This window comes from Homo sapiens, chromosome 20, assembly GCF_000001405.40.
Source record: "Homo sapiens chromosome 20, GRCh38.p14 Primary Assembly".
Taxonomy (NCBI): Eukaryota; Metazoa; Chordata; class Mammalia; order Primates; family Hominidae; genus Homo; species Homo sapiens.
The window spans coordinates 1,309,629-1,332,563 of NC_000020.11; the positions used below are offsets into that span (position 1 = coordinate 1,309,629).

The 22,935-nt window shown below is 50.4% G+C and overlaps 1 protein-coding gene and 3 long non-coding RNA genes across 8 annotated transcripts in view, besides 2 other annotated features; 2 read left to right on the forward strand and 2 right to left on the reverse strand.

Annotated features, from left to right (window-relative positions):
* On the reverse strand, positions 281–19,511 carry SDCBP2 (syndecan binding protein 2). 3 transcript variants are annotated; one of them, NM_080489.5, is made up of 9 exons: positions 19,457–19,511; positions 10,735–10,807; positions 9,962–10,031; positions 8,690–8,790; positions 3,712–3,870; positions 2,959–3,134; positions 2,709–2,880; positions 1,172–1,263; positions 281–867 (listed from the first exon to the last, which is right to left on the reverse strand). In NM_080489.5, the coding sequence occupies exons 2-9, from the start codon at positions 10,786–10,788 to the stop codon at positions 813–815; spliced, it is 879 nt and encodes a 292-aa protein (NP_536737.3). In that variant the 5' UTR covers positions 10,789–10,807; positions 19,457–19,511; the 3' UTR covers positions 281–812. The 3 variants fall into 3 exon arrangements, with proteins under 3 accessions (NP_536737.3, NP_001186713.1, NP_056500.2); NM_001199784.2 differs by lacking the exon at positions 19,457–19,511 and adding an exon at positions 16,202–16,241; NM_015685.6 differs by lacking the exons at positions 8,690–8,790; positions 9,962–10,031; positions 10,735–10,807; positions 19,457–19,511 and having other exon boundaries at positions 3,712–4,045.
* The window catches only part of FKBP1A-SDCBP2 (FKBP1A-SDCBP2 readthrough (NMD candidate)), an 83,264-nt gene continuing 60,609 nt past the window's right edge, over positions 281–22,935 (reverse strand). The window contains exons 3-10 of the long non-coding RNA NR_037661.1: positions 10,735–10,807; positions 9,962–10,031; positions 8,690–8,790; positions 3,712–3,870; positions 2,959–3,134; positions 2,709–2,880; positions 1,172–1,263; positions 281–867 (exon numbers count right to left, since the gene is read on the reverse strand). This is a non-coding gene — a long non-coding RNA (FKBP1A-SDCBP2 readthrough (NMD candidate)). The remainder of the gene's footprint in view (positions 868–1,171; positions 1,264–2,708; positions 2,881–2,958; positions 3,135–3,711; positions 3,871–8,689; positions 8,791–9,961; positions 10,032–10,734; positions 10,808–22,935) is intronic.
* LOC124904856 (uncharacterized) lies at positions 10,807–14,741 on the forward strand. The gene is made up of 2 exons (XR_007067487.1): positions 10,807–11,572; positions 14,238–14,741. It is a non-coding gene; the product is annotated as an uncharacterized LOC124904856 (long non-coding RNA).
* SDCBP2-AS1 (SDCBP2 antisense RNA 1) overlaps positions 15,715–22,935 on the forward strand; it is a 53,393-nt gene continuing 46,172 nt past the window's right edge. For 2 of the 3 annotated variants that reach the window (NR_040048.1, NR_040049.1), the window contains exon 1: positions 15,715–15,901. This is a non-coding gene — a long non-coding RNA (SDCBP2 antisense RNA 1). Of the gene's footprint in view, positions 16,155–22,935 lie in introns of all 3 variants that reach the window. The other variant, NR_040047.1, reaches the window with a different exon arrangement.
* Positions 15,777–16,006: an enhancer, noted in NCBI's record as "active region_17457". NCBI's record gives its function as "activates an Ori minimal core promoter by ATAC-STARR-seq in GM12878 lymphoblastoid cells {active_cell/tissue: GM12878}" and the evidence as "EXISTENCE:reporter gene assay evidence [ECO:0000049][PMID:35858748]".
* Positions 15,997–16,291: an enhancer, noted in NCBI's record as "tiled region #67; HepG2 Activating non-DNase unmatched - State 1:Tss". NCBI's record gives its function as "activates a minimal TATA promoter and a strong SV40 promoter by Sharpr-MPRA in HepG2 cells {active_cell/tissue: HepG2}" and the evidence as "EXISTENCE:reporter gene assay evidence [ECO:0000049][PMID:27701403]".

Genomic DNA, 22,935 nt, shown 5'->3' on the forward strand with positions numbered 1-22,935 from the left:
ATGCCCACTTTGCAGAAGCAGAAGCAGCCACGGTCACACGGGGGGTGCCCCAAAGCCAGTGCTCCCTTTGTCAGCCCCACTGCCCCACAGTCCTACCCCATCCCCACAGTTCCATCCTGTCCCCAGTTCCAGTCATCCCCGCGCCAGGCTGGCAGGTGGCACGTGACAGAGGCAGAGCCAAATCATGGCTCTCAGAGGCCACGCGTAGAAAAGGCCCTGGTCTCACCACGGTTTAAGAGGAAACCAGCCCTGGCACGTCAGGGGACCAAGGATTCCAGAATTTTCAGTTACCTTTTTATTTTATTTTCAATAGTTTTGGGGGAATCAATTACCTTTGCGGACAGGGTTTTGTTTAAAATCAAATCTTTATTCAAAAGATAGTCAAGGCTGACAACTTATGCAGTCTGTGACAAAGAGCAAGTCAAGGCAAGGAAAAAGCTCTCACAAAGAACGTAGCTCTGTTCTCTTAAAATGTGTAACTGTTTTCCTGGTAGAGCAAAATTTCTTGAAAGGGGCCCAGTTGCGACTTTAAGCAGCGTTTAAACAGCCTGCCTCCGTGTCCAGCATTTAAATCAGCACAAGAGAATCGGCTGCCTGTGGGCCCTGCCTGAGCCTCAGCCTAGCTTGGAGTCTGAGGCTCCAAGGAGGCCTGTGTGTATAAGCCATCCCATGGTCACCCTCCTGGACACGCCCCCCTCATGGCAGCCCCCACCTTAAGCAGCAGGCCGGCTGCAACCCATCATCCGAGGGTGGTTGCCCTTTGCTGCAGGAGGGCGGGAAGCCCCCCCTGCCTGCCCTGCCCTGCAGTGGCTTCAGGCATCTGGGATGGAGTGGTCCATGGTGTGGTGGAGCAGGACTGGAGGCAACCTGGATACAGCAACAACAGTGACCAGGTTGGCAGCTCCTTCTCTCCACCCTCCAGCAACCTCCACCCCCTTCCGAGCCAGTGCATCCCATGTGGGCCTTCACTCCCAGTTCTAAGACTTTCGAATCACCAGAAGCCACAAGCTACCTTGGAGGGAGGGGAAGGGAGGATAGAGCTGGCTGAGCCTGTGCCCTGTGTCAGCACTGAGAAAGTGGAAGTGGCTGAGCCAGGTGCACCTGGGAGGCCGGGAGGTGAAGGGGATGGCAGAGGAGGGGTGAGGAGGGGTGAGGAGGGGTGCAGCCTTACTTTTTGACCATGTGCTCGTAGATCACACTGGGGATGATGGTCAGGGTGACAACGTTCCCAGCCGTGGCCAGAATCTCCATGATCTTTTTGTCCTAGGGAGGAGGCAAGTAAGCGATCACCCTAAGGATTGGGGACCAGGGGCAACTCTACAGGCCCCTCTGTGGAGGGATCAGCATGGCCACTGCTAGAGGACACCACTGATGGCTGACTGCAGGGCAGGGCTGCCTCGGACCCCGAGCCTGTCAGATGAGGGTCCCAGCAGACTCCCAGGTAAGGTCTTGCTTGAGTGAGAACATGGGTCTCCCACCTGAGGATCTCCTTGGTCAAATGAGCATGCCTCTTCCCACCCTCAGCTTGAAGGCCAGCGGTGTGAGCCTGACGCGTAACAGGGCCTCATCAATGCGATTCTCCTCCCCCTTCCAAGGGCTCCCAGAGACTCACCAAGCCCACAGTCACATTTGGGTTCTGGCCTCAAAGCATAAATGCCTCCCCATCCTGTGGGAGGTACTAGGCGTACCCATCCACCCTCTGGCTCCTGCTGCCTCCAGGGCCATAAGGATCCTCCTCCTCTTACATCCTCTTACATTTGCTTGTTTGATAAAAAGAGATGGGCCTGCAGACACCACTTAGATCATGGGAAGAACAAGAAATTAAAAGTCTCTACGCAAAGCGTGCCAGGTGGTCCAAACACTAACGTTATGGCCATAGAAGAGCCTCTGGCCCTCACTCAGAGCCTATTGACCTTTACATTACACATGTATGTTATCTGGTTATGTGTTTTCTTGGTTGTTCGAAAATAAATGTGAGAAGATGTGCTAGACAGGACTAGTGATGGCCACAGGTGGAAATAAACTTTGAAAAGACAAACGATCTCAAGAAGTGTGGCTGGCTGGGACAAACCCAGTTCTGAAGAACCTCACGACCCCATGGATTTCTGAATAACGATTTTCTAAAACATTCCTAAACTACTGAACATGATCCACTATACCAAAAAAAGTGCCATACAGAGCAAGGAGGTGTCCATGCAGCCAGCAATAGCTATTATGTATTAAGCACCTGCTATGTGCCTGGCACTGTGCTCAGAGCTCTAGGTACACTGTCTTTTTTTTTTTTTTTTGGAGACAGGGTCTCTCTCTGTTGCCCAGGCTGGAGTGCAGTGGCATGATCATAGCTCACTGCATCCTTGACCTCCCAGGCTCAATTAGTCCTCCCACCTCAGCCTCCTGAGTAGCTAGGACTACAGGTGTGCACCACCACGCTTGGCTAATTTTTTAGTTTTTTTTGTGGAAAGAGGGTTTCACATTGCCCAGGCTGGTCTCGTGCTCCTGGACTTAGTGATCCTCCTGCTTTGGCCTCTCAAAGCACTGGGATTACAGACGTGAGTCACCGCACCCAGCCCTACGAACACCGTCTTACTGAACCCTCACAGCAACCTTAGGAAGAGGATGCTGAGGCTCAGGTGGGGTAAGCAAGCTGCCCAAAGACCTGAGCCCTCCCACCACCCGGCAGTCCCTCCCTGGTGCGGCCACCAGCCTACCTTCAGCCCGATAACATTCTGCCCGTCCACCTCACACACGTAGTGGTTGGTGAGGAGCCCGTTGCGGGCCGCAGAACTCCCTTTGACCAGAGAGACAATCTTCCCCTTCTTGATCACGAAGCCGACGTGGCCCATGCTGTCCTTGTGCATGGTGACAGTCCGCTGGAACGGCCTGGCAGGAGGGACAGTGAGCTGTCCTGGGGACATGGCTGGGGTGAGACGGAGAGGCTGCCCGGGCCTGGCTACTCACCTGTCCCGAACCACCACGACAATCTTATCGCCTGATGCCTTCTTCACCACCTGATGGGCTTTGTGCGAGCTCCACCCAGCACAGTCACGCCCGTCAATCTGCAGGAGCTGGTCCCCAAAGCGCAGCCCCACAAGGGATGCAGGGGTGTTGGCCTGGACCAACTGCACAAAGAGCCCCTGGGGGAGGCAGGGCCCCAGAGTCAGTGTCCCTGGCCCACCCTAGGCACAGATCCCTCTTCCAACCTGTTGTTTTCCTCCTGATACTCCAGGAACCTACAGGGTGCCAGGGACACAGCTCTGCATGGCAGGCACCAAGGTTACCCCATTTACCGGGGAGGAAACACTCTAGGCCTCATAGTTAGGAAGCAGGTGAGTCAGGATTTCAACCCTGGCCTGGGGCTGCACTCCGAAACACTCCACTGTACCATTCACAAAGGCATGGGCTTCCCTGGCGTCGGCTGTCTACACCGTCGCCTGGAAGCTAGATGCCCTGGGCAGCGAAGGGCAGGTGGGGAAGGGAGGCTCCTCCGAGCGACGGAAGCCCACGGAGAGGCCAGTGGAGGGCCCTGCGCAACCCAGCACCAGCCCCGCCCGGGTCTCGGGGAGGAGGGACTGGGGGCAAGAGCCTGGCCGCTGGGGTTAGGAGGCCCGCTCTGCACCTTCCTTACTGTGGACGGGCCCTCTGAGCTCTGAGGCCTGGCGGGAGAGCGCGTGCAGCTCGAGCTCCTCTTCCCACCCAGCCCCCGCGCCCTACCTGGTCGACCTTCCGCAGCCTCAGCCCGGTCTTGCCGCGCTCGTCCTTGCACAGGTGGATCTCGCGCACCCCGGGCTTGATCTCAGCTCGCCGCACGCCCAGGCTGTACCCGGTTACCGGTGCCACCATCTGGCCGGGCCCGGGGCCCGAGACCGCTGTCTGCAGACACCAGGGGGCAGGGGGTCAGCCCGGCCCGTGGGGACCCTGTGCCTCAGGAGACACTGGGGTGGGGGTAGGGATGGGGAAAGGAGGATGGAGCCGTCCCCGGGTCCCCCCACGTCCCCAGTCCACGCTTCTCCCCTAGGGGCGAGAGGAGACGTGGCTCCACGCGGCCACTAGGGGGCGTCAAAGTCCATGCCCTTAAAAAGCCAGGAAAACGGGGAGGGAAGGGGCGAGGATACAGGAAGAGGCCCTTCATTTCCCAAGGGAAACTGGCATCAGGAAAAGCCTCCTTTAAAACCCACTTAAAATAGAAAAAGTCACAGTAAATAGTGAGCAACAGGGGATAAAAGGACTGGATTTTTGTCTTGAGAAAAATGTAAAAATATACAAATTCATGATGCAGAAAAAGGCAAGGAACTTCACTCTCCCAACACTATTAAAGATGGTACTGGAAGACCTAGCCAGCACAGTAGGCAAGAAAAGAGGGGGAGTCACACAGATCAGAAGAGAAGAAATAAAACGGTTCCTATTTATAGATGGCACGATGGTCTACTAGAAAATCCCAAAGAATCTACAAATAAACTCCTAGACCAAATAAAAGAGTTTAGCAAGGTCCTGGGATACAAAATTAACACACAAGATTCAATTGTACTTCTGTATACTAACAACGAACACATGTAAACTGAAATTTAAAATACAACACCAGGCTGGGCGTGGTGGCTCATGCCTGTAGTCCCAGCACTTTGGGAGGCCGAGGAAGATGGATCACTTGAGCCCAGGAGTTCAAGACTAGCCTGGGCAACTGTTGAAACCTCCTCTCTACTAAAAATACAAAAATTGGCTGGGCTGGTGGCAAGCACCTGTAGTCCCTGCTACTCAGGTGGCTGAGGCAGGAGAATTACATGAACCCAGGAGGTGGAGGTTGCAGTGAGCCAAGACTGAGCCACTGCTCAGTCCAGCCTAGGTGACAGAGCAAGACTCCACCTCAAAAAAAAAAAAAAAAAAAAAAAGGAAAGGAAAGGAAAGGAAAAGAAAAGAAAGGAAAAGAAAAGAAAAGGAATACAATACAATACCACTTACAATCACTCAAAAAAAAAAAAAAAAAAAGAGGCCGAGCTCAGTGGCTCACTCCTGTAATCCCAGCATTTTGGGAGACCAAGGCCGGAGGACCACTTGAGGCCAGGAGTTCAAGACCAGCCTGGGCAACAAAGCAAGACCCCCATCTCTGTTAAAAACAAAAACGAAGCAAAATAAAACCTAAAAACAAGAACAACAAAAAGAAATACGTGTAAATCTAACAAAACACATACAGGAACCGTATGCTGAAAACAACAAAATACTGATAAAAGATATCAAAGAAGACCTAAATAAATGGAAGATTCTCTGTATTCACGTGTTGAAAGAATTAGTAAAGCTGTCAATTGCCACCAAATTGATATACAGATATAACACCATTTCTATCAAAATCTCTACAAGATGTTTTGCAGATCCAGGGAAGGTTAGTCTAAACTTTATATGAAAAGACAAAGGAATTTAGAATAGCTAAAACAATTCTGACAAAAAGAATAGCGAGAGGAATCACCACCAAATTTCAAGACTTATTATATATAGCTACAATAATCAAGACAGTGTGGTACTGGTGAAGGGATAGACAAGTATCAGTGGAACAAAGTAGAAAATCCAGAAATAGCCTCAAATGAGTAAAGTCAACTGCTTTTTGCAAGAGTGCTTTCAACAAATGGTGTTGGCTGGGCGCAGTGGCTCATGCCTGTAATCTCAGCACTTTGGGAGGACAACACAGGGAGATCAGCTGAGGTCAGGAGTTCAAGACCAGCCTGGGCAACAGGGTGAAACCTCATCTCTACAAAAATACAAAAATTAGCCAGGTGTGCTGGAACGTGCCTGTGGTCCCAGATACGCAGGAGGCTGAGATGGGAGGATCGCTTGAGCCCAGGAGGCGGAGGTTGCAGTGAGCCAAGATCATGTCACTGCACTCCAGCCTGGGTGACAGAGTGAGACCCCATCTCAAAACAAACAAACAAACAAAACAACAAAAAAAGCAAATGGTGCAACCATGGCAAAAATATGAACTTTGACTGAAACCTAACTCCTTACAAAAAAATTAACCCAAATTCAATCATAAACGTAAACGCAAAACATAAAACTATAACCATTTTAGAAGAATACGAAGGAGAAAATCTTTCGGACTTAGGGCTAGGTAAATATTTCTTTACAAAGTATGAGCCACAAAAGAAAAAAAAATCAATAAACTGGACCTCATCAAAATTCAGAACTGTTAAGCTACAGACTGAGAGAAAACATAAACCACACATCTGACAAAGGACTTTAGAATACACAAAGAACTCCCAAAACACTACAGACAAGCCCCAGCCTGGCCAACATAGCAAGACCTTGTCTCTGCAAAAAATAAAAATAACAATAATAAAAGAAATTAGCTGGGCATGGTGGTGTGCACCTGTGGTCCCAGCTACTCGGGAGGCTGAGGTGGGTGGATCACCTGACCCGGGAGGTGGAGGCTGCAGTGACCCGTGATCGCACCACTGCACTGCAGCCTGGACAATAGAGCAAGACCCTGTCTCAAAAAACAAGAAGAAGAAAACAAGCCATTTAGAAAATGAGTAAAATATATGAAGAAACATTTTACCGGAAAGAATATACAGATGGTAATAAGCACATGGAAAGATGGTCCACATCATCAGGTGCCAGGGAAATGCAAATTAAGACCATGATGAGCCATCATTATACCTATCATAGTGGCTAAAATATAAAATAGTAATAATACCAAATTCTGGTGAAGACATGAAGAAACTGGAGCACTCATGTATTGCTCACGGCAAAATAAAATGGTATAGCCACTCCAGGAACTAGTTTGGCAGTTTCTTTTTGAGACAGGGTCTCACTCTGTCACCCAGGCTGGAGTGCAGTGCTGTGATCTTGGCTCACTGCAGCTTCCACCTCCTGGGCTCAAGCAATCCTCCTGCCTCAGCCTCCTGAGTAGCTGGGGCTACAGGCACAAGCCACCATACCTGGCTAATTTTTGTATTTTTTGTAGAGATAGGATTTCACCATGCTGCCCAGGCTGGTCTCGAACTTCTGGGCTCAAGTGATCCACCTGTCTCAGCTTCCCAAAGTACTGGGATTACAGGCATGCACCACCACACCTGGTGGCAGTTTCTTTAAAAAACTTAAACATACATTTGTCATACAGCCTAGCAATTGCACTTTGGGCATTTATCCTAGAGAAATGAAAACGTATGTCTATACAAAAACCTGTATAAGAATAACTTTGTTTGTAACCACCAAAAACTGGGAACAACTTAGCTATTCTTCAACAGGTTAAACAAACCCTGGTACATTCACATCATGGAATACTACTCAGCAGTAAGAAGGAATGAACTATTATTGACACACACAACAGCCTGGATGGATCTAGAGGGTATTGTGCTGAGTGAAAAAAGCCAACCTCAAATGGTCACATACTGTACGATTCCACTTATGTAACATTCTGAAATGACAAAATTATAGAGATGGAAAACAGAGGGCCGGATGCCAGGGGTTAGGGAGGGTGGCAAGCAGGCAGGCATAACTATACAGAAGCAGCCTGGGAGGGAGGTGGTTGTGGTGATGAACTAGTTCTGTATGGATTGCAGTACTGGTTACATGAATCTACACACTGATGAAATGACATAGAACTAGAGACACACTGTACTCGCGTAAGACTCCTGGTTTTGATAGTGTACTATAGCTATGGAAAACATAAGCATTGAGGAAACTGGGTGAAGGGTACTAACAACTTCTCTGTACTCACTTTGCATCTTCCTGGGAATCTACTGTTTAACAATAAAAAGTTAAAAGACATACAAAATTTTAAATTATAAAAATGTATTCATCATCTTATATTTTATCAAAATTACGGTTGAATGCATTTATGTCTTAATTATAGGAACAAAGAGTGATGACAGTGGGGCTGCCTACAGAAGGACCTTCTTTGCTTCATGTCTGCCTTTCACAGCACGACCATGAAGGGGGCCACTGTGGAGAAACACCCCAGGGTGCCATCAGTTCTTCTCAGGGTCCCACATGGCCTCATCCTTGTGGATTTCCTCCTGTCAGATCCTCGTTTTGGCAGTGGCTTTGTATGTGTCTGTGACAGTTCTCTATCATCATATCCATGAACTTCATGAAATTCCCCAGCCTTAGACAACTTTGCAGTTTGTACTTTCAGTTTCATCGGCTCAGGACGAGCCTGGCAGGAAGACTGACAGGTGGGACGCAGGGATGCTAGAGCTAACTGGCAAGGGGCTTAGGCGGGGACTGGTTCTACAGGTAAATATGTTTTCAGTGGCATATATTTCTGTGATGGTGTCTTTTGCTCCCCGAAGCCATGGAAAGCAGGAATTGAGCCTTGTTGTTTAATTTGGGGACCAGAGTTGGGTGACGAGCTCCTGCCCTCTCGGCTCTGTTTATCCATGCAGGCAGCCCTGCTTTTGATGTCCCCAGGTTCACGCTGGGCTTAATGACCTCCCTTCTCATCCAGCTCAGGCCCAAGGTCAAAGGGCAAGCCCTGGTTCTCCATCCCCAAGGCTTGTGGGAAGATCTGAAACCATGAAAGCCCACAGTGGTTTTCGTGAAGCCTCAAAATGAACGGTGCCATCAAGAAACAGAGCCAGCAGAGTGCTGGGGAGAGGGGAGGTCCGAGCACAGAGAGAAAGAAGGTCTGTTGAAATGGCAAGACCAGGAAAAAGGGAGGATTGGGAGGTTCTGCGCCCGCAGCAGGCAGAAGCCAAATACATACACTGTCACCCTCTGGAATCTGAAGCAGGCTCTCCTGGACTTCTTGGCTGGAGAGGGAAAGACCCATATAATTTTCCAGTTCTGCCAAGTTTGGGTACAAAACTGATAGGGAAAGAAGGAAGAATAAATGTGTCATTAGAGGACATGTGCTTCCCTATGCCTGCCTGGCTCCCCTGTGGCTGCTCATTTTTATTAAGAAATGGAGCCTGGGAATGGTATTTATTTCCAAGACTGTGGGGTATCCCCAGGAACACTCACTGATGAGCGCTCCTCAGAGGGCCCAGGTGCAGGGTAGGACACCGAGTCCTCATGCACCACTTTGCTATTCAACTCCACTGACTTTATTTGACACCCAGAAACCTCTGCATCCCTCAGCGAATGGTTCCCACCAGGACTGGCAGGGTCCTAATCCCTTCTTATAAGGATTTGTGTCCTTATAAGAAGAGACAACAGAGGGCTCATGCATGCGCTCTCATGCTGTATCTCTCTCGTGTTCTCGTTTTCTCTCTCTCTTTTAAGCAAGTACACTGAGGAAAGGCCATGTAAGGACTCAGCCAGAGGGTGGCCATCTGCAAGCCAGGAAGGGAGGCCTCACCAGAAACTGAATTGGCCAGAACCTTGATCTTGGGCTTCCAGCCTCCAGAGCTGTGGGAATATACATTTCTGCTGTTGAAGTCATCCAGCCTATGGTATTTTGTTATGGAAGCCTAAGCTGAATAAGGCAAGTGGGGTTCTGGCCCCTTCTCTCTTTGAGCCGCTATCTGCCGTCCACTTCTTCCCCACCTGCCCCCACCCCAGGCCAGCCATAGTTCCAGCAAGGAAGTCTGACAAGTGTGGTATTTCATTCCCGGGGTCACATGAGATTGGATCACCAGAATGGTGCTGAAATGCTGATTTGAGGTGACTCAAATCGTTTATATAGACAGAGGCCCCACAAATGATATCACATCCTCAAGGCAGCCTTGCTGGGGGCATCAGAGAAGCCATAGCTTCCCTAACTTGAGCTGGGTTTGGAAGGATAAACAGGGGTTCACCAGGCAGTCAAGGAGGGAGGGGAACAGCATGGGCACAGGCTCTGGGAGGTGAGGTGACTCAGCCCAGGTCACCCAGGCAGTAAGAGGTGGGTGGCAACTGGAAGCCTGGTCCTCTCTTCCCACCATGTTGAGTCCTTAACCCTGGAGCCTCCCATACCTTTGGCATTGCCAAGCTTCCCTGATGATCTCTTCCCTGAAAGGACTTGGCACCCAGGAGCCCCTCATCCCAGCCCACTCACCTGGTGGTGGGGAAATGGCTGTTGCCTGGACTGGCAGGGCTGGCATCTTGGGTGAGGCTCTGACCTGGGCCTGGGGAGGAGCAGGGAGCACTGGTCAGCTGTGGCCAGGACCCCAGGAACCCCAGAGCCTGGAGCTCCATGAGGCCAGGGTCTGGGCATTAGGGGTGTGAGTGGGCCCGGGGTGTGGGGGGAGTGTGCACCAACCCTCAGGGCTCAAGATCACGTAAACGTGGCCTCCGCAGATGTGTCTTTTCCTGGGAGGAAGTTCTGGGGGACTGTGACCCACCCTATGTCACAACCCATTTACTGCCTGCAACAGGCAGAACATCAAGGCCCATCTCCCAATCAAGTTCTCAGCTGAAAAGTCTCCATTTCTCAAAACCCACTGGAACCACAGAGTGCTGGGATGGAGGAGGAAGGGGGCTTCTGGGGGCTAAGCAGACCAATGCCTATGCCCACTAGTCTTGTTTCCTCTGAAAGCCTGCCTTAGAGCATGGAGCCCGCCCATCCTGGAGGGAGGGAGAGCTGGGCCTGGGCAGGACAGAGCAGGCATGAGAGAGGCATGCGTGCGCTGCTTGGTCTTTTCTATTCTTGCTGTAACGCCATTGGCATTGCCCCCTGGATGTCTTCTCTGCCCAGCAGGCCCTGCAGTGGACACCTACATGCCCTGAGGCCTACGGGAATCTCCAAGTGGCCCCAGTACCCAGCACCTTCCAGGGTAATCCCCAAGGTCCCCTTCAGGGAATCCAGGCCAATGGGGCCTGGCGACTTACCTGAATGGCTTGGTCCACTTTTAGGTCCTCTAGAGATGGGTACAGGGATGACATGGCTGATTCTCAGAACACCCTGCAGAGTGCAGAGGGTGGGGAAGGATAAGGATGCAGCTGATGCCCCCTTGAAAGGAGGCACAGACATCCGCAACAGCAAGCGGGTTGGAACTTAATATTCAAACAGAAAGGCAGCAGGGCACTTAGAATGCCTCCCCGAACTCCACCCCTAATCCCCTGTCGATATTTGAACTCTACTGTATTCCACTCATCTCCAGCCTCACTGTCAACTTTTAATCTTGGCCACAATGAAGTAAGACCAGTAGGAAATTTATAAAGACTCTCACACAAACTGTAGCAGAACTTAGACACTCAACAGGGCACTGCTCCAGAGGGAGGAGGGAATGGGGGGTGGAGAGGCACCATGAGCACTTATTTACTAAACACCTTCTCATTGTCCCAGGGAGAATCAGCAGGACCTCTGAGCAAGGTGCCCCGAGAAAGTGAAAGGAATGATGACCTCTTAAGAAATGTTTTATTCCCTTCCTGACGAAATGTGGGGAAGGAGCAGTCTGCCTTTCTGGGTTCCTTCCCTTTACTCACTAACCACTGGCTCTGTCACACCTCCAGGCTTCGCTGAGGCAGTCCACTCCAACTGGAGCCCCTGCCCAACCTCCTTGTCACCCTCGGTTCCTGTGGGACACGCCTCCCCTGGCTCCCAGGCAATACGGTCACTGCCCCTCCCACCCAGGACCCTGCCCTCCGGGACAGCTCCGGGACAGCACCGGGCCAGCCTCTTGCTTGAACTCGCCACTTGTCCTGACTGCAGTTCTGAGGGGTAAAGGTGTGTCCTATTCACCCCACTGAACTCACATGTGATGGGTACACATGATAAAGGAATGCCCGCTGGTGGCACAGGAAACTGAGGGTCCTGTGCCTGAGCGATGTGACTCCAGGCTTCCCAGGATCAGATCCGCTGGGCACCTCCCTGAGTGACCACAGGCACGCCGAGGACATACTCATCCATCACTGCTCCTTCTCCTCCCTCTGCACCTGCTGCCTTGACCCCTGTGTCATCCTTGGCCCCGCCCCCACTATCCCTTCTTGTCTGTCATCAAATCCCATCTCTCCCACATCCCGTGTTGTGCAGGTCCCCATCATCTCCCTGGCCCTCTCCAGGTGCCATAACACCCTCCAAACACACTGCTGCCTCCCCTCCTGCCGTCCTGCTGCTCTCCAGACAGCAGCCACCAGGCCCTTTGTGTACACACTTGGGATGTCATGCCCTGGCTGAAAGCCCGCCAGTGGCTTCCCTGCCTTGGGAATGTACTCTCCTTAAAGAGGCTCACAGGGCCTTCACGATTCCACCAGAGATTGGAACTGGTGGGCCCAGGGCCAGATGGAAATAGATTTTATTTGACCTTGTGGAGTACTGTAAACGTTCAGATTAGCAGCTTAAACACAAAGCTCAAGGTACTGGATTTAATAATCGAATTTCCCACTGCTCCCAAAAAACAGGAAGCTTTGGCAACCCTAGGCTATAGCAGAGTAGCTACAATTGAGTAGCAGCAGACTCCAGGGTGACCCAGTCCACCATCCTCTATTGGCTGTTACACCCAGACCATTGTACTCACTGGTGCCAAGTCCCAATAGATATTTGTTTGCAACCCTAGTCTACCTCTCCAGCTTCATTTCTTGCCTTACGTCCTTTCAGCTGCTACTTTCAACTCCAGCCACAATGAGCTACTTCCACGTCCTTGCATGTGATTCCCTCCTGTCTCTTTTGCATGTGTTATTCCTTCTATCTGGAATACCCCTCCTCTCCCTGCTCCTTGCTTGGCCAACTCCTAATAATTTTCAAGTCTCAGATCAGGGAGCTCCTCTTACAGGAAGCCTGCTTTGATTTGTGCTCCCCCTAGCCCCTGCTCCATGTCCTACTCCTGTTGAGTATTCACCACTCTTGTGGTTGCCTCTTTACTTGTCTGTCTACCTCCTTAGGAGTTCCAAGATGGCAGGAACAGGGGCTTCTCATTTGCTGTGAAGCCTCTAACCCCTAGCATGGAGGCTAGCTCAATAATATTGCCAGAAGCAACACATTCTACCTGGGCTTCCACTTTTCTCCTTGTAAAGTAAAGCTCTAGTATCCTAAGAACACCCACCTTCCTGGATGAAACAAGGACCAGAAGTCCCAAATGTGCCTCTCACAGTCCTGTTTTATTATTATTATTATTTTGAGACAGAGTCTCACTCTGTTGCCAAAGCTGGAGTACAGTGGCGCGATCTTGGCTCACTGCAATCTCCAACTCCTGGGCTGAAGCCATCCTCCCACCTCAGCTTCCCAAGTAGCTGGGACATAGGTGCATGCCGCCACACCTGGTTAATTTTTGTATTTTTTGTAGAGACAGGGTTTCAGCATGTTGCCCAGGCTGGTCTTGAACTCCTGGGCTCAAGCAATTTGCCCGCTTCGGTCCCCCAAAGTGTTGGGATTACAGGCCTGAGCCACTATGCCCAGCCTTTTGTTTTTAAAATCTGAATTAGTGCCAATATTTAAAAATCTGGAAACACAAAATGCGTCACTTCTTACTTGGATTGAAAAAAATATAAACATTTGGCAAGGCAAGAGCTGGAATAGTGCATGGCAACACTCACCCGGCTGAGTCACAGCCTACCTCGCAAATGGGGCTGTACGTGCTTTCCTGTTTCCGCAAGTACCCATCAGCCCTTCACTGATTTACGTTGCCTGCTTGGTTCCTGGAGGCAGCCAGTTCCAGACCCTGCCCTAGCCTGGCCTTTGGGGTAGAAATGACCATCCCAACAGGACAGGAATTTCCTGGGAGGGGAGGGAGTCTGGCTCTGACTTCCTTTAGACCACCTGGGGGAAGAGACCCCTTTGCTTATAGCCTTCCCCACTGTGTACACACACTATGAGATTTTTAATCTTGGGACAGTCCTGAGCAGCTATCATCTGCCAAAACATGACCTGCCACCAGGACCACGCATGAACAGCAGATGCGAAAATAAGCAGCCACTCCTGCCCTGATTTTCCTAACATTTAACCAGTAGAGCACTTATATTTTTGTCAGCTGTCCCCTGGGAGAGCAGGGAGTCAGAGATCCATTTCCTGGAAATCACTCCCGGGCCAGATCACATAACCCTTTTTCTGTGTCTGAGATCCTTTCACCACTGCCACCTTCTCTGGATCCCATCTTAGTGCTGGGATGCGGGGAAGTGAGAAAACAGGTACAGTCGTTCCTTGGGGTAGGTTCCAGGACAATGCCCCTCACTCCCCATCCCTCGGATACCAACATCCACAGCTGCTTATGTCCCTTACATAAAGTGGCATAATATTTGCATATAACTTATGCACATTCTTCTGTATACTTTAAATCATCTCTAGATTACTTACAATACCTAATGCAATGTAAATGCTAAACAAAGTTATATTTTATTTTTATTTGAATTTTTGTTGTTTTTTTTAATTTTTATTTTTAAATATTTTCTGTCTACAGTTGGTTGGATCCATGGATGTGAAACCTGGGGATAGGAAAGGCATACTGTATCCCCTGCCTTGTAGCAGCTCACAATATAATGGGGAATGGTTCCCTGCCAGCGAACATGCTGTGTTTCGTTCAATCATTCAAAACATTTGAGTGTCCACTGTGTGCCAGACGTGCTGGTCCCTCTGCTGTGCACATCATCCTCCTTGGTGTGATGCTCCTTCGAGGCTCAGTTCAGATGCTACTTCTCTGCTTGGCTTTTCCAGACTGCATGATACCCAGGCTGCCTGGCTGGGTCTTCCCATGTATTCCACCCCTGACCTGTACTGCCCCTGTTGCCAAGCTATTTATCAAATTATGTGATTAATATCTGGGTATTTTCTTACACTGGACCTCACTCATAAGGGCAGGAGCTCTGTCCCGTTCACACACGATCCTTCCCCGCCACGGCACTGCCCAGCACACATATGCTAGCAAAAATTATTTGACTGAATAAATCAGTGGTTTTCCAAGGAACAGATTGGAAATTTATGTGGGCATTTTTGGGTGTCACGAGACTGAGGGGACAGTCATATCCCTGTCGGGGGTGGGGGGGGCAGGGATATGAAACTCCTGTAATGGATGGGACAGTCCATTACAGTCACCATAACAAATGGTCCTGTCCCGCACAACTTTCAGATATCCTGCCAAACTTTCAAGTAAGCCAAAAATCCGTTATAATTGGTTGTACATACAATCACAATGAATTTTTCCCTAGTTTTAGTACACACTAGACTGTCTGGAAATGCATATATCAGGTTGGTTGTGGGGAGTTACACTTTGCTCACCATTCTGGAAAATCGCTGCCCACCCTGCTCCCCACGGGTGAGTCACCCGAACAGCATGCTCACGTCTGTGTACATGTGTAGCTGTCACAGTGACTCCGCGCTTTTATATAAATATATTTAGCCTTTGACTCAAGATGTCAGATATAAACTGTTGGCAAAATTCAGCTGAATATTGTCTTCTAGTAAACCTAAGCTGATTCCTAAGTTGGGTACAAGCGTGATCGGGTGTAAGCCAGCCTCAGCTTTTACAAAGTGAAATGCATATTCTTTTATTAGAAATTACTTTCATGTCCCTGCCTTCTCCTTATAAACAAAGGGCATCATATTGATTTTTTACCCGGGGAACCATCACCTGGGCTGCAGCCTCAGGACGAACCTGTGCCTTCCCTCTGTCTCAATTTCCTGCTTTGGGAAATAGGAGCCACAAGCCACAAACTCCATCCACCGCGCCACAGGAGCGAGGTCCAACGCAACGGTCCCTAGGGCCTGCCTCCAACCCAGCCTCAGTTTCCTATCTGTCACATCGTTCTATGATCTCGAAATGACTATAACCCCTTTCTTAGCCCCAAACCAGCCGGAAGCGACATCTTCCGGTTGCTACAGGTTACGGCGGTTGCTATGGGCTACGGCGCCTGCGCAGAAACACCGCCAAGCGACTCAGCAACTTCTAGAGCGCATGCGTTTCGCCCACCCAGGCCCGGGCGCGGTTAGGGGTGACTCCCACGATCCCTAGCGGCTGCAGAGTGGAACATGGCGGCCTCCTTGCCGCTTGCGTTACCAGAGTCCACCCGGCCTCGTGCTTTCTCCGGGCGCCCGTAGCTGGCGCCGGCATCCACAAAAATAGATCAGGTAAAGCAGCAGAGTAAGGCATAGGAAGACTTGGTCGGGCTCCGCGGCCCCTCTTTACCGGATTGGAGGCTGCGCGGGTGAAATCGAGCTTTAAACTCCCCTGGCCTCGGAACACCATTTGTAGCCTCTGAAGGAGGAGGACTTATAAGATTCTGTACTAAGGCAGCCGTGGGAAGGGAGGAGAACCAGGTCGGCCCGCGCGCTCCCGGCTGCTTTTGCTCTCCCTTTGGTTTCGAAAGCGTCAAGTCCCAAGGTATTTCCTACCAATTGTGACGTCACCCTTCCTCCCCCGTTTCTCACCCGTTTCTTGTCTGGCCGTGACTTCTGACCCAGTGTTGAGCTAAAAATGCCCCGCCCCACCCTACGCAGATTCACCCCGCGTCCCACCCACCAGTGACTGAGTGACTGGGCTTCTGCTGCCTAGGGAAGGGTTCTTGGCTTGGCCGGGCAAATCAATTCCCACAGCAAAATCAGACCGAAAGCCTGTTATGAGGGACTCAGGCAGTTGGATGTGGCGTATAGGAGGAAGGCTAGGGCAATCAGGAAGGTCTCCTGGAGGAAGGAAGAAGACCCTGACTGGGCCGTGTAGGATGGATGTTCAAGTGGGAAGAGAGTGTGCTATTCCAGGGACAGGGAGGCCCAGGCCTGAGAGTCCAGTTGCCTTCTGGATCCCGTTTACCTCGCAGATTATCCAAACTGGACTCGTGATTTTCCCCAGCTGTGCCGCGCCTCCCCAGCGGTCTCACTGAATCCACCCATGGGCTATGTCAGAAATCTGGGAGTTATCCTCAGCTCCTCCCTTTCCCTTCTGAAGCCATACCTACTTCTTGCCCTCAAATCTCTGTGACCTGACTTCTGGTAATGTTTCCATTCTCACCATCTCATTCTTCTCCACACTTATCATGAAGTTCATTTATTCCAGACTACTTTAGGTTGAGTCCTAAAAGTCAGCCTGCTAGTTCATGCCTCCATGCTTTTGCAGGTGCTATTCCCTCTGTCTTAAGAGTCATTCATGCCTTCTCTCTTTTCCTTGTTGTGAACTCTTTTTCCTCCAATTTAAAGCTTTCCCCCACCTGTACGCATGGAGATTGGCAAGCCTCCCTTCTCTAGACGACAGCATTTCTTGTATTTGCCTCTTCATCATATATTCCACAAGTGTTTGTTAATCACCTACTATGAGCAAGGCCTTCTGCATTTCCTAGGTTGGATTTCCACTGTGCTGTGTTTGTTTGCTCATCTCCCTCACTGGTCAGGAAATGTCACTCATTTGTTAACCCCCAGTGCTGAGCACAGTGCCTGGCACACAACAGGCATCCCATTACTATTTCTGAAAGGAGTGGAAAAGCAGGCACAGAGAGAAGAGAAAGCCTGATATCCTAAATATACAGTCTTTCTTCCCATGCCTGTCTGTGTTTGCAGTCAATAAGTAGAAAGTCTTTCGAAGAATAACCTGGGCCTGGAAAAGGAGAGAAACCATGGCCCTAACGAGTTAGGTTGAAAGGCTGCCTGGCTCCTATAATCTGACAGTGGAAGTTTGCTCAGTTCTGTGCTGATGGCTTCCCACAAGTAATTGGTTCCTCCGAAAGGAAAAGAACCCACCTAACCCCTCTCTCTCAGAGGAATTTTCCTCTCCCACAGCCCTTTCCAGATTTCCATCCCTGAGCTTCTGTACTTTTTGATATAAGCAATAACAACACCCACAACAAACCAATAGCTGGGCTTCGGAGATCAGCAGGGCTGACAAGGGGACTTCAGCCCCCATCTTTGAACTTAGAGTGAGAACACTCTTTGGAACACTTTGTTCCAAAGAGCTGAAGTGATGGAACTCCCACTCGTTCCTGTGGACAGCTCATCCGTCCTTTACAAGACAGTGCGCGGGAGGGAAGCGTGGGTTAGAGTGTCAGAGGAATAGCTCCTGGAAGGCCAAATTAGCCCAGGGATGTGGTGAGTCGGAATAGAAGAAGCTGTTGCTAGGCCACCAGCATGTACCCCCACTCCTCCTCTCAGTGCTGCACTGCCTGCTGGGGAAAAGCTGTGACTTCCTCAAGCAGACACGCCTGAACCCAGGCCCAGGCAGGGCAGGGTTCAGACTGACTGCTTCTGACTTGTGAGAGCACAGCATAGGCAAATCCCCTTTGAATGTCATTTCTTCCTTTGTAATCTGGATAACAATAGTTGCATCACAGTTGTCTGGAGACTGAAAGATTTTTAAAAAGAGTTAAGGTGTATATGGAAAGCATTTAGCACAGCACCTAGCACATAATAGGCATTCAGTAAAAGTTAGCTGTTTATTCATTGTTTCAGCGCTTACTTACTCAGCACCTGCTAAGTCTGAGTACTGTTCTAGGTATCAGCAGTGAAGGAAAGAAGACTTGGTCCCCAAATGTACTTTCTTTGGGGGAAGAGCTGGATAAATAGGCTTTGTGACTCTGTGTGCTGTGTTAGATGGTGGGAGGCACTGGAGAGAAAGAGCAGGACGGAGGGTCATGTCAGGAGGTTCAGAAGCCTTGCTGGCTGGGTGGGGTGACATTTGAGGAAAGGCCTAATGGGGTGGGCACGGCCATTGCAGAGCCTCTCAGGTGGGAGTTGGTGTTGTGTTTAGAGGACATCTGCCAGTGAGAAGCCAGTTGTGCAGAGAGGGAGTAAGGAGGAGTAGTGGGGAGGAAGCTGGAGAAGTGAGAGGGGCCAGATCCTGGAGGGCCTGGAGGTCATGGTGAGGACTTTGGCATTTACTGTAGTGAGATGGGAGCCACTGGGGGATTTGTAGCAGCAGAGTGCCAAGGTCCAAGGGTTATTTTGACAGGCCTCCTCTGGCTGATGTTTGGAGGATGGGCTACAGGGCAGGAGTGGGAGCAGGAGCCCAGGTGGGAAGTGATGGTGGTGGAATTGTCATGAGCTTGGGCCACTGTACGTGAAGCTGCCTGTCCAGTGCTCGCCCAGCCCATACCAGGCTCGTTTTCTGCCCCATTTTCTGAGACCCTGCTGAGGAGGGCATGCACTGGCTCCTGTGTCCAGTATGTCCTTCCATTCTCCTGACTTTGTGGGCTATTTTCAGTCTCCAGATGAAGAAACCAGTTCTTAGAAAGGTGAAGCCCCTGGCGCAGTTCCCCAGCAGGTGTTTCAGTGCTGTGGCAGGAAGGTTTTTTGATAGAAACAGCCTCAGGCCAGAGAAGTCGGCCTGAGCTGTGGATTCCTTGGGAGAAATGGGCTTTTTGCCTGCCTGCAGCCTCTGGTTTCGGCTGGAATTGGCCTTTCAAGGAGCAAAGTGTGGATCTCATCTCCTTGAGCACAGTCATGGGCAGTCAGAAGGCATCGGGGGCCCTCATGATGTCTGGGTGAAGAAAATCACTCAGCCCTTAATCAAACTTGGTCCAGGGCTGGGATCAGAAGAAGAAACCCCACTTCACACTTGACTGCTTGGAGTGAAGCACTTCGAAAGGAAGCTGCCTGGGAAGTCCCAGAAGGGAAGGGGCAGGGAGGGAAGGGGACAGGGTGAGAGCAGGTCTCACTCATCCCAATCCCAGCCAGGATTGGGTCAGGGCCCCCAGCGCTTACCTGCAGGCAAGGTGCTGCTCCACGACCTTCTCCAGCTGCTGCCGCTGCTGAATCTGTTTCCCTCCCTGAAACGTAGCCCTGTCTCTCAGCTGGCTTCCTGATCTGGGAAGGGTGGTGCCTGTCCCCTGTTCAGCTGACTCACCTTGGACTGGGATGGGCACAGGTGAGGGCTGTGGCTGGGTAAACAAGGCAGGTTGCCAGCCCAGAGGAGGCCTTTGGCCTTAGTCTGGATTTGGAGGTGGGATTAAGGCCCTCACAGCTGCTGTTCAGACGGTTATGAACCAAGACTTCTTGGCCTTTTCTTAAATAGCTCTAAATTTGGGTTGGACACCTAGTCCTGCTGATCGAGGCAGTTGGCTAGAGGGCGGTTTGTGATAGGTATCTAGGGGTCTAGGCCAGGATATTAAAAAGTGGTCATATCCTGTGACCCAGCATTTCTTCTAGGAATTTGTTACAGTGGAGTCACAGGGCCCATCCATCACTGCTGCTTCTAGTAAGGAAAATGTAGAAATCCCAAATGCCCATCTCTGTGGTCTGCTTGAATAAATCATTGTCTGTGGAAGATCACAGAGCTATTAAAGTCACTTAAGGAAGAAGGTATGAGGAAACATTTCTGAGATTCTAGTGAGATGTTGAAAAATCAATATTGTGAATCTCTTCTTGCATTTTGTTTTCATTTTTTGTAAAGTGGATGTGCGTTGAAAGCAGTCTAGGAGGACATACGCTAAAATGCTGAGTATCTCTGAATGGCAGCATTGAGGGTGAGGTTTTCAGTTTGTACTTTTGTGTGTTCCAAGGTGGTTTTTTTTTTTTTAAGTTAGCTTTTGCTCTGAATGCTCATGACTTTTGTAAGGGGGAAGCAATTAAGTTTGATTATTTTAATGGGAATTTAGAGTGGTTGTCTCTTGGGAGCAGACCTAAGGAGCTGTGTGCTGAGGTGGAGATTTTTTTTTTTATGGCACATTTTTGGTGTCTTAAATTTTGAAAAGTTTAAATGTACTACTTATTCCAAAAATAATTATATAAATTTGAACAGAAAAGGAGGAAGAATTTAGTTTAGATCCTGGTGGGTTTGGTTGGGTGAGGGTGCCTGTCGCACTGGGTGCCTGGGGAGGGACGAGGGACTCGTGTGCTGGGCAGTCCCATGAGGATTGACGCTGTACACACTCAGGGTGTGTCAGTATCTGGGCTGCTTCCTGGGCCAGGCAGGCCTACGTCACAGTTCCCATGACCCACCTGGCAGAGTTGCACTAGCCTTGGGTGTCAGATCTTGTGCCTGCCAATGAAGAGCTTACAGCCCAGAGTCCCACACAGGAAACACACAATAGGAATAATAACAAGAAAGACATTTGCCACTAATTCAGCACTTACTCCCAGAGAGCACAGAGATTCTACCCCTGGCACTTTAAAGGCATTATCTCAATGGCTTCTCATGCCATCCCTGCAGAGTAGGTGTGACTCACACCATTCCTCCAGGTGGGGACACTGAGGCACAGAGGCAAAGTTTCTCTCTCAAGTTAGCTGGAAAGTGGGCCAAGTTCATGTCTTCTCTTCTATGGGACATACTGTTTCAGAAAGCTGAGGTGTGGGGCAACCTCAGAGTAAGCTGTGTGGGCCTGAAGCTGAGGTAACGTGGGTGATGGACCCACCTTAGGTCAGGTGTCCAAGGCCAAAGCAAAGTGGAAAATAGAGATCCTAACTAAACCAAGCCACTCCTCCCCCACCTCACTTCATTCAGTCATGACCTGAAAGGGCCTTTATAGAAGAGGGAGGAGGAAGCAGGCCCTTCCAGGTAAGGGGCTTGCCTGTGGTCCCAGCATGTCAGCATGGAGCCCAGGTCCCCTAACTCCCACCTATTTAATACCTACAGGGACTCTCTTTCTATTCCCTCTTTGGATAGTTGCCACCCATCACTGACTTCCAGCCACCTGGAAATATCTTTCATTGGGCATGCCCTTGCTCGAACTCTTCAGTGGCTCCCTCCTGCTTCAGGGTCTGGGCTAAACTCCCAGGGCTGACATGGAGACCTCCACAGCCCACTCCCTTTATTACCTCCTCAGCACTCCCCCAGCACCTCTGCCTCAGCTGGACTGGGAGCCCCACCATTCCTGCCCCACTGCACACCCACTTCCTACCTGCCCTGACTCCATACCTTTGCCTGTCCTGCTGCTGCCCCTGGAACACCTTCTCCTGCCCCCACCCACCTAGCCACATCCACCACTGAGCTCCTCCAGGAAGCCTCTGGGATCCCCCACATCCATGTGGCCTCTCCCGCCTCTGACTCTGGATCAGACGCTCCTGTTCCATTCTTTAATAATCATCATCTTGTACTCATGTGTACCTTTTAGGCTACTAGTTAGACCCTAAGTTCCCTGAGGGCAGGGCCAAGTTATTAGCTCTACAGTGGTCATTCTTTTGAGACAGCATTTCGCTCTGTCACCCAGGCCATAGTGCTGTGGTGCAATCATGGTTCACTGCAGCCTCCACCTCCCAGGCTCAAAGGATTCTTCCACCTCAGCCTCCCTATTAGCTGGGACGACAGGTTCACACTGCCACACCTGGCTAATTTTTTTATTTTCTGTAGAGACAGGGTTTTGCCATGTTGCCCAGACTGGTCTCAAACTCCTGGGCTCAAGCAGTCTGCCTGCCTGAGCCTCCCAAAGTGCTGGGATTACAGGTGTGAGACCCCACACCCAGCCAGTTACTCTTTTCAAAATAAGGAGTGGAACTGTGCTCTGACCAGACAATATTTCTGCTTTGTTATATATTTGTATGAACAAGTCTAAAACTTTGGGTGGCCAGTAAACAGCACACACTCAGAAACTCCCTGGTAGCACCCATGGCACCCTGAGTAATCAACCACTAATGTCCTTCCTGCTGGGCCCAGAGGCCTCTCCGGATCCTCTCGTCATAATGCTGCAGGCAGCTACCGTCACCTAGAGTTGGCTCATGAGGTGAAGTCTCCATGCCATCTGGAATGGGTGCTCCATGATGGCAGGGGCTTGTCTTAACCCTGAGGCCTAGTACTATGCCTGGCACATAGCAGGCTCACAGTAAATTTTTTTTTTTTTTTTGAGATATGGTCTTGCTCTGTCTGCCAGGCTCAAGTGATCCTCCTGTCTCAGCCTCCTACGATCCTCCTGCCTCAGCCTCCCAAGATCCTCCTGCCTCAGCCTCCCACAATCCTCCTGCCTCAGCCTCCTGAATAGCTGGGACCACAGGCGTATGCCACCACAGCTGGTTAATTTTTGTATTTTCTGTAGAGATGGGGTTTTGCCATGTTGCCTAGGCTGGTTTTGAACTCCTGGGCTCAAGGGATGTATCCACCTTGGCCTCCCAAAGTACTGAGATTACAGGCGTGAGCCACCACACCTGGCCTCAGTAAATATTGACTGAGTGAATAAATGCCCCTCCTAGAAAAGTCAATCACAGTTAGAAACTTAAATGGCTGACCCTTATTTAAAAGATGGGTTGGGCTG

Bases quoted from the DNA above. Each gene is read 5' to 3' on its own strand.
- SDCBP2 (NM_080489.5), bottom strand. From the start codon at position 10,788: ATGTCATCCCTGTACCCATCTCTAGAGGACCTAAAAGTGGACCAAGCC. The intron at 1,264-2,708 runs GTAGGCTGGTGG...CCTCCTCCCTAG, and splicing joins AGAATGTTATCGGGCTGAAG to GACAAAAAGATCATGGAGAT. The intron at 868-1,171 runs GTAAGGCTGCAC...TGCTGTATCCAG, and splicing joins TACGAGCACATGGTCAAAAA to GTTGCCTCCAGTCCTGCTCC.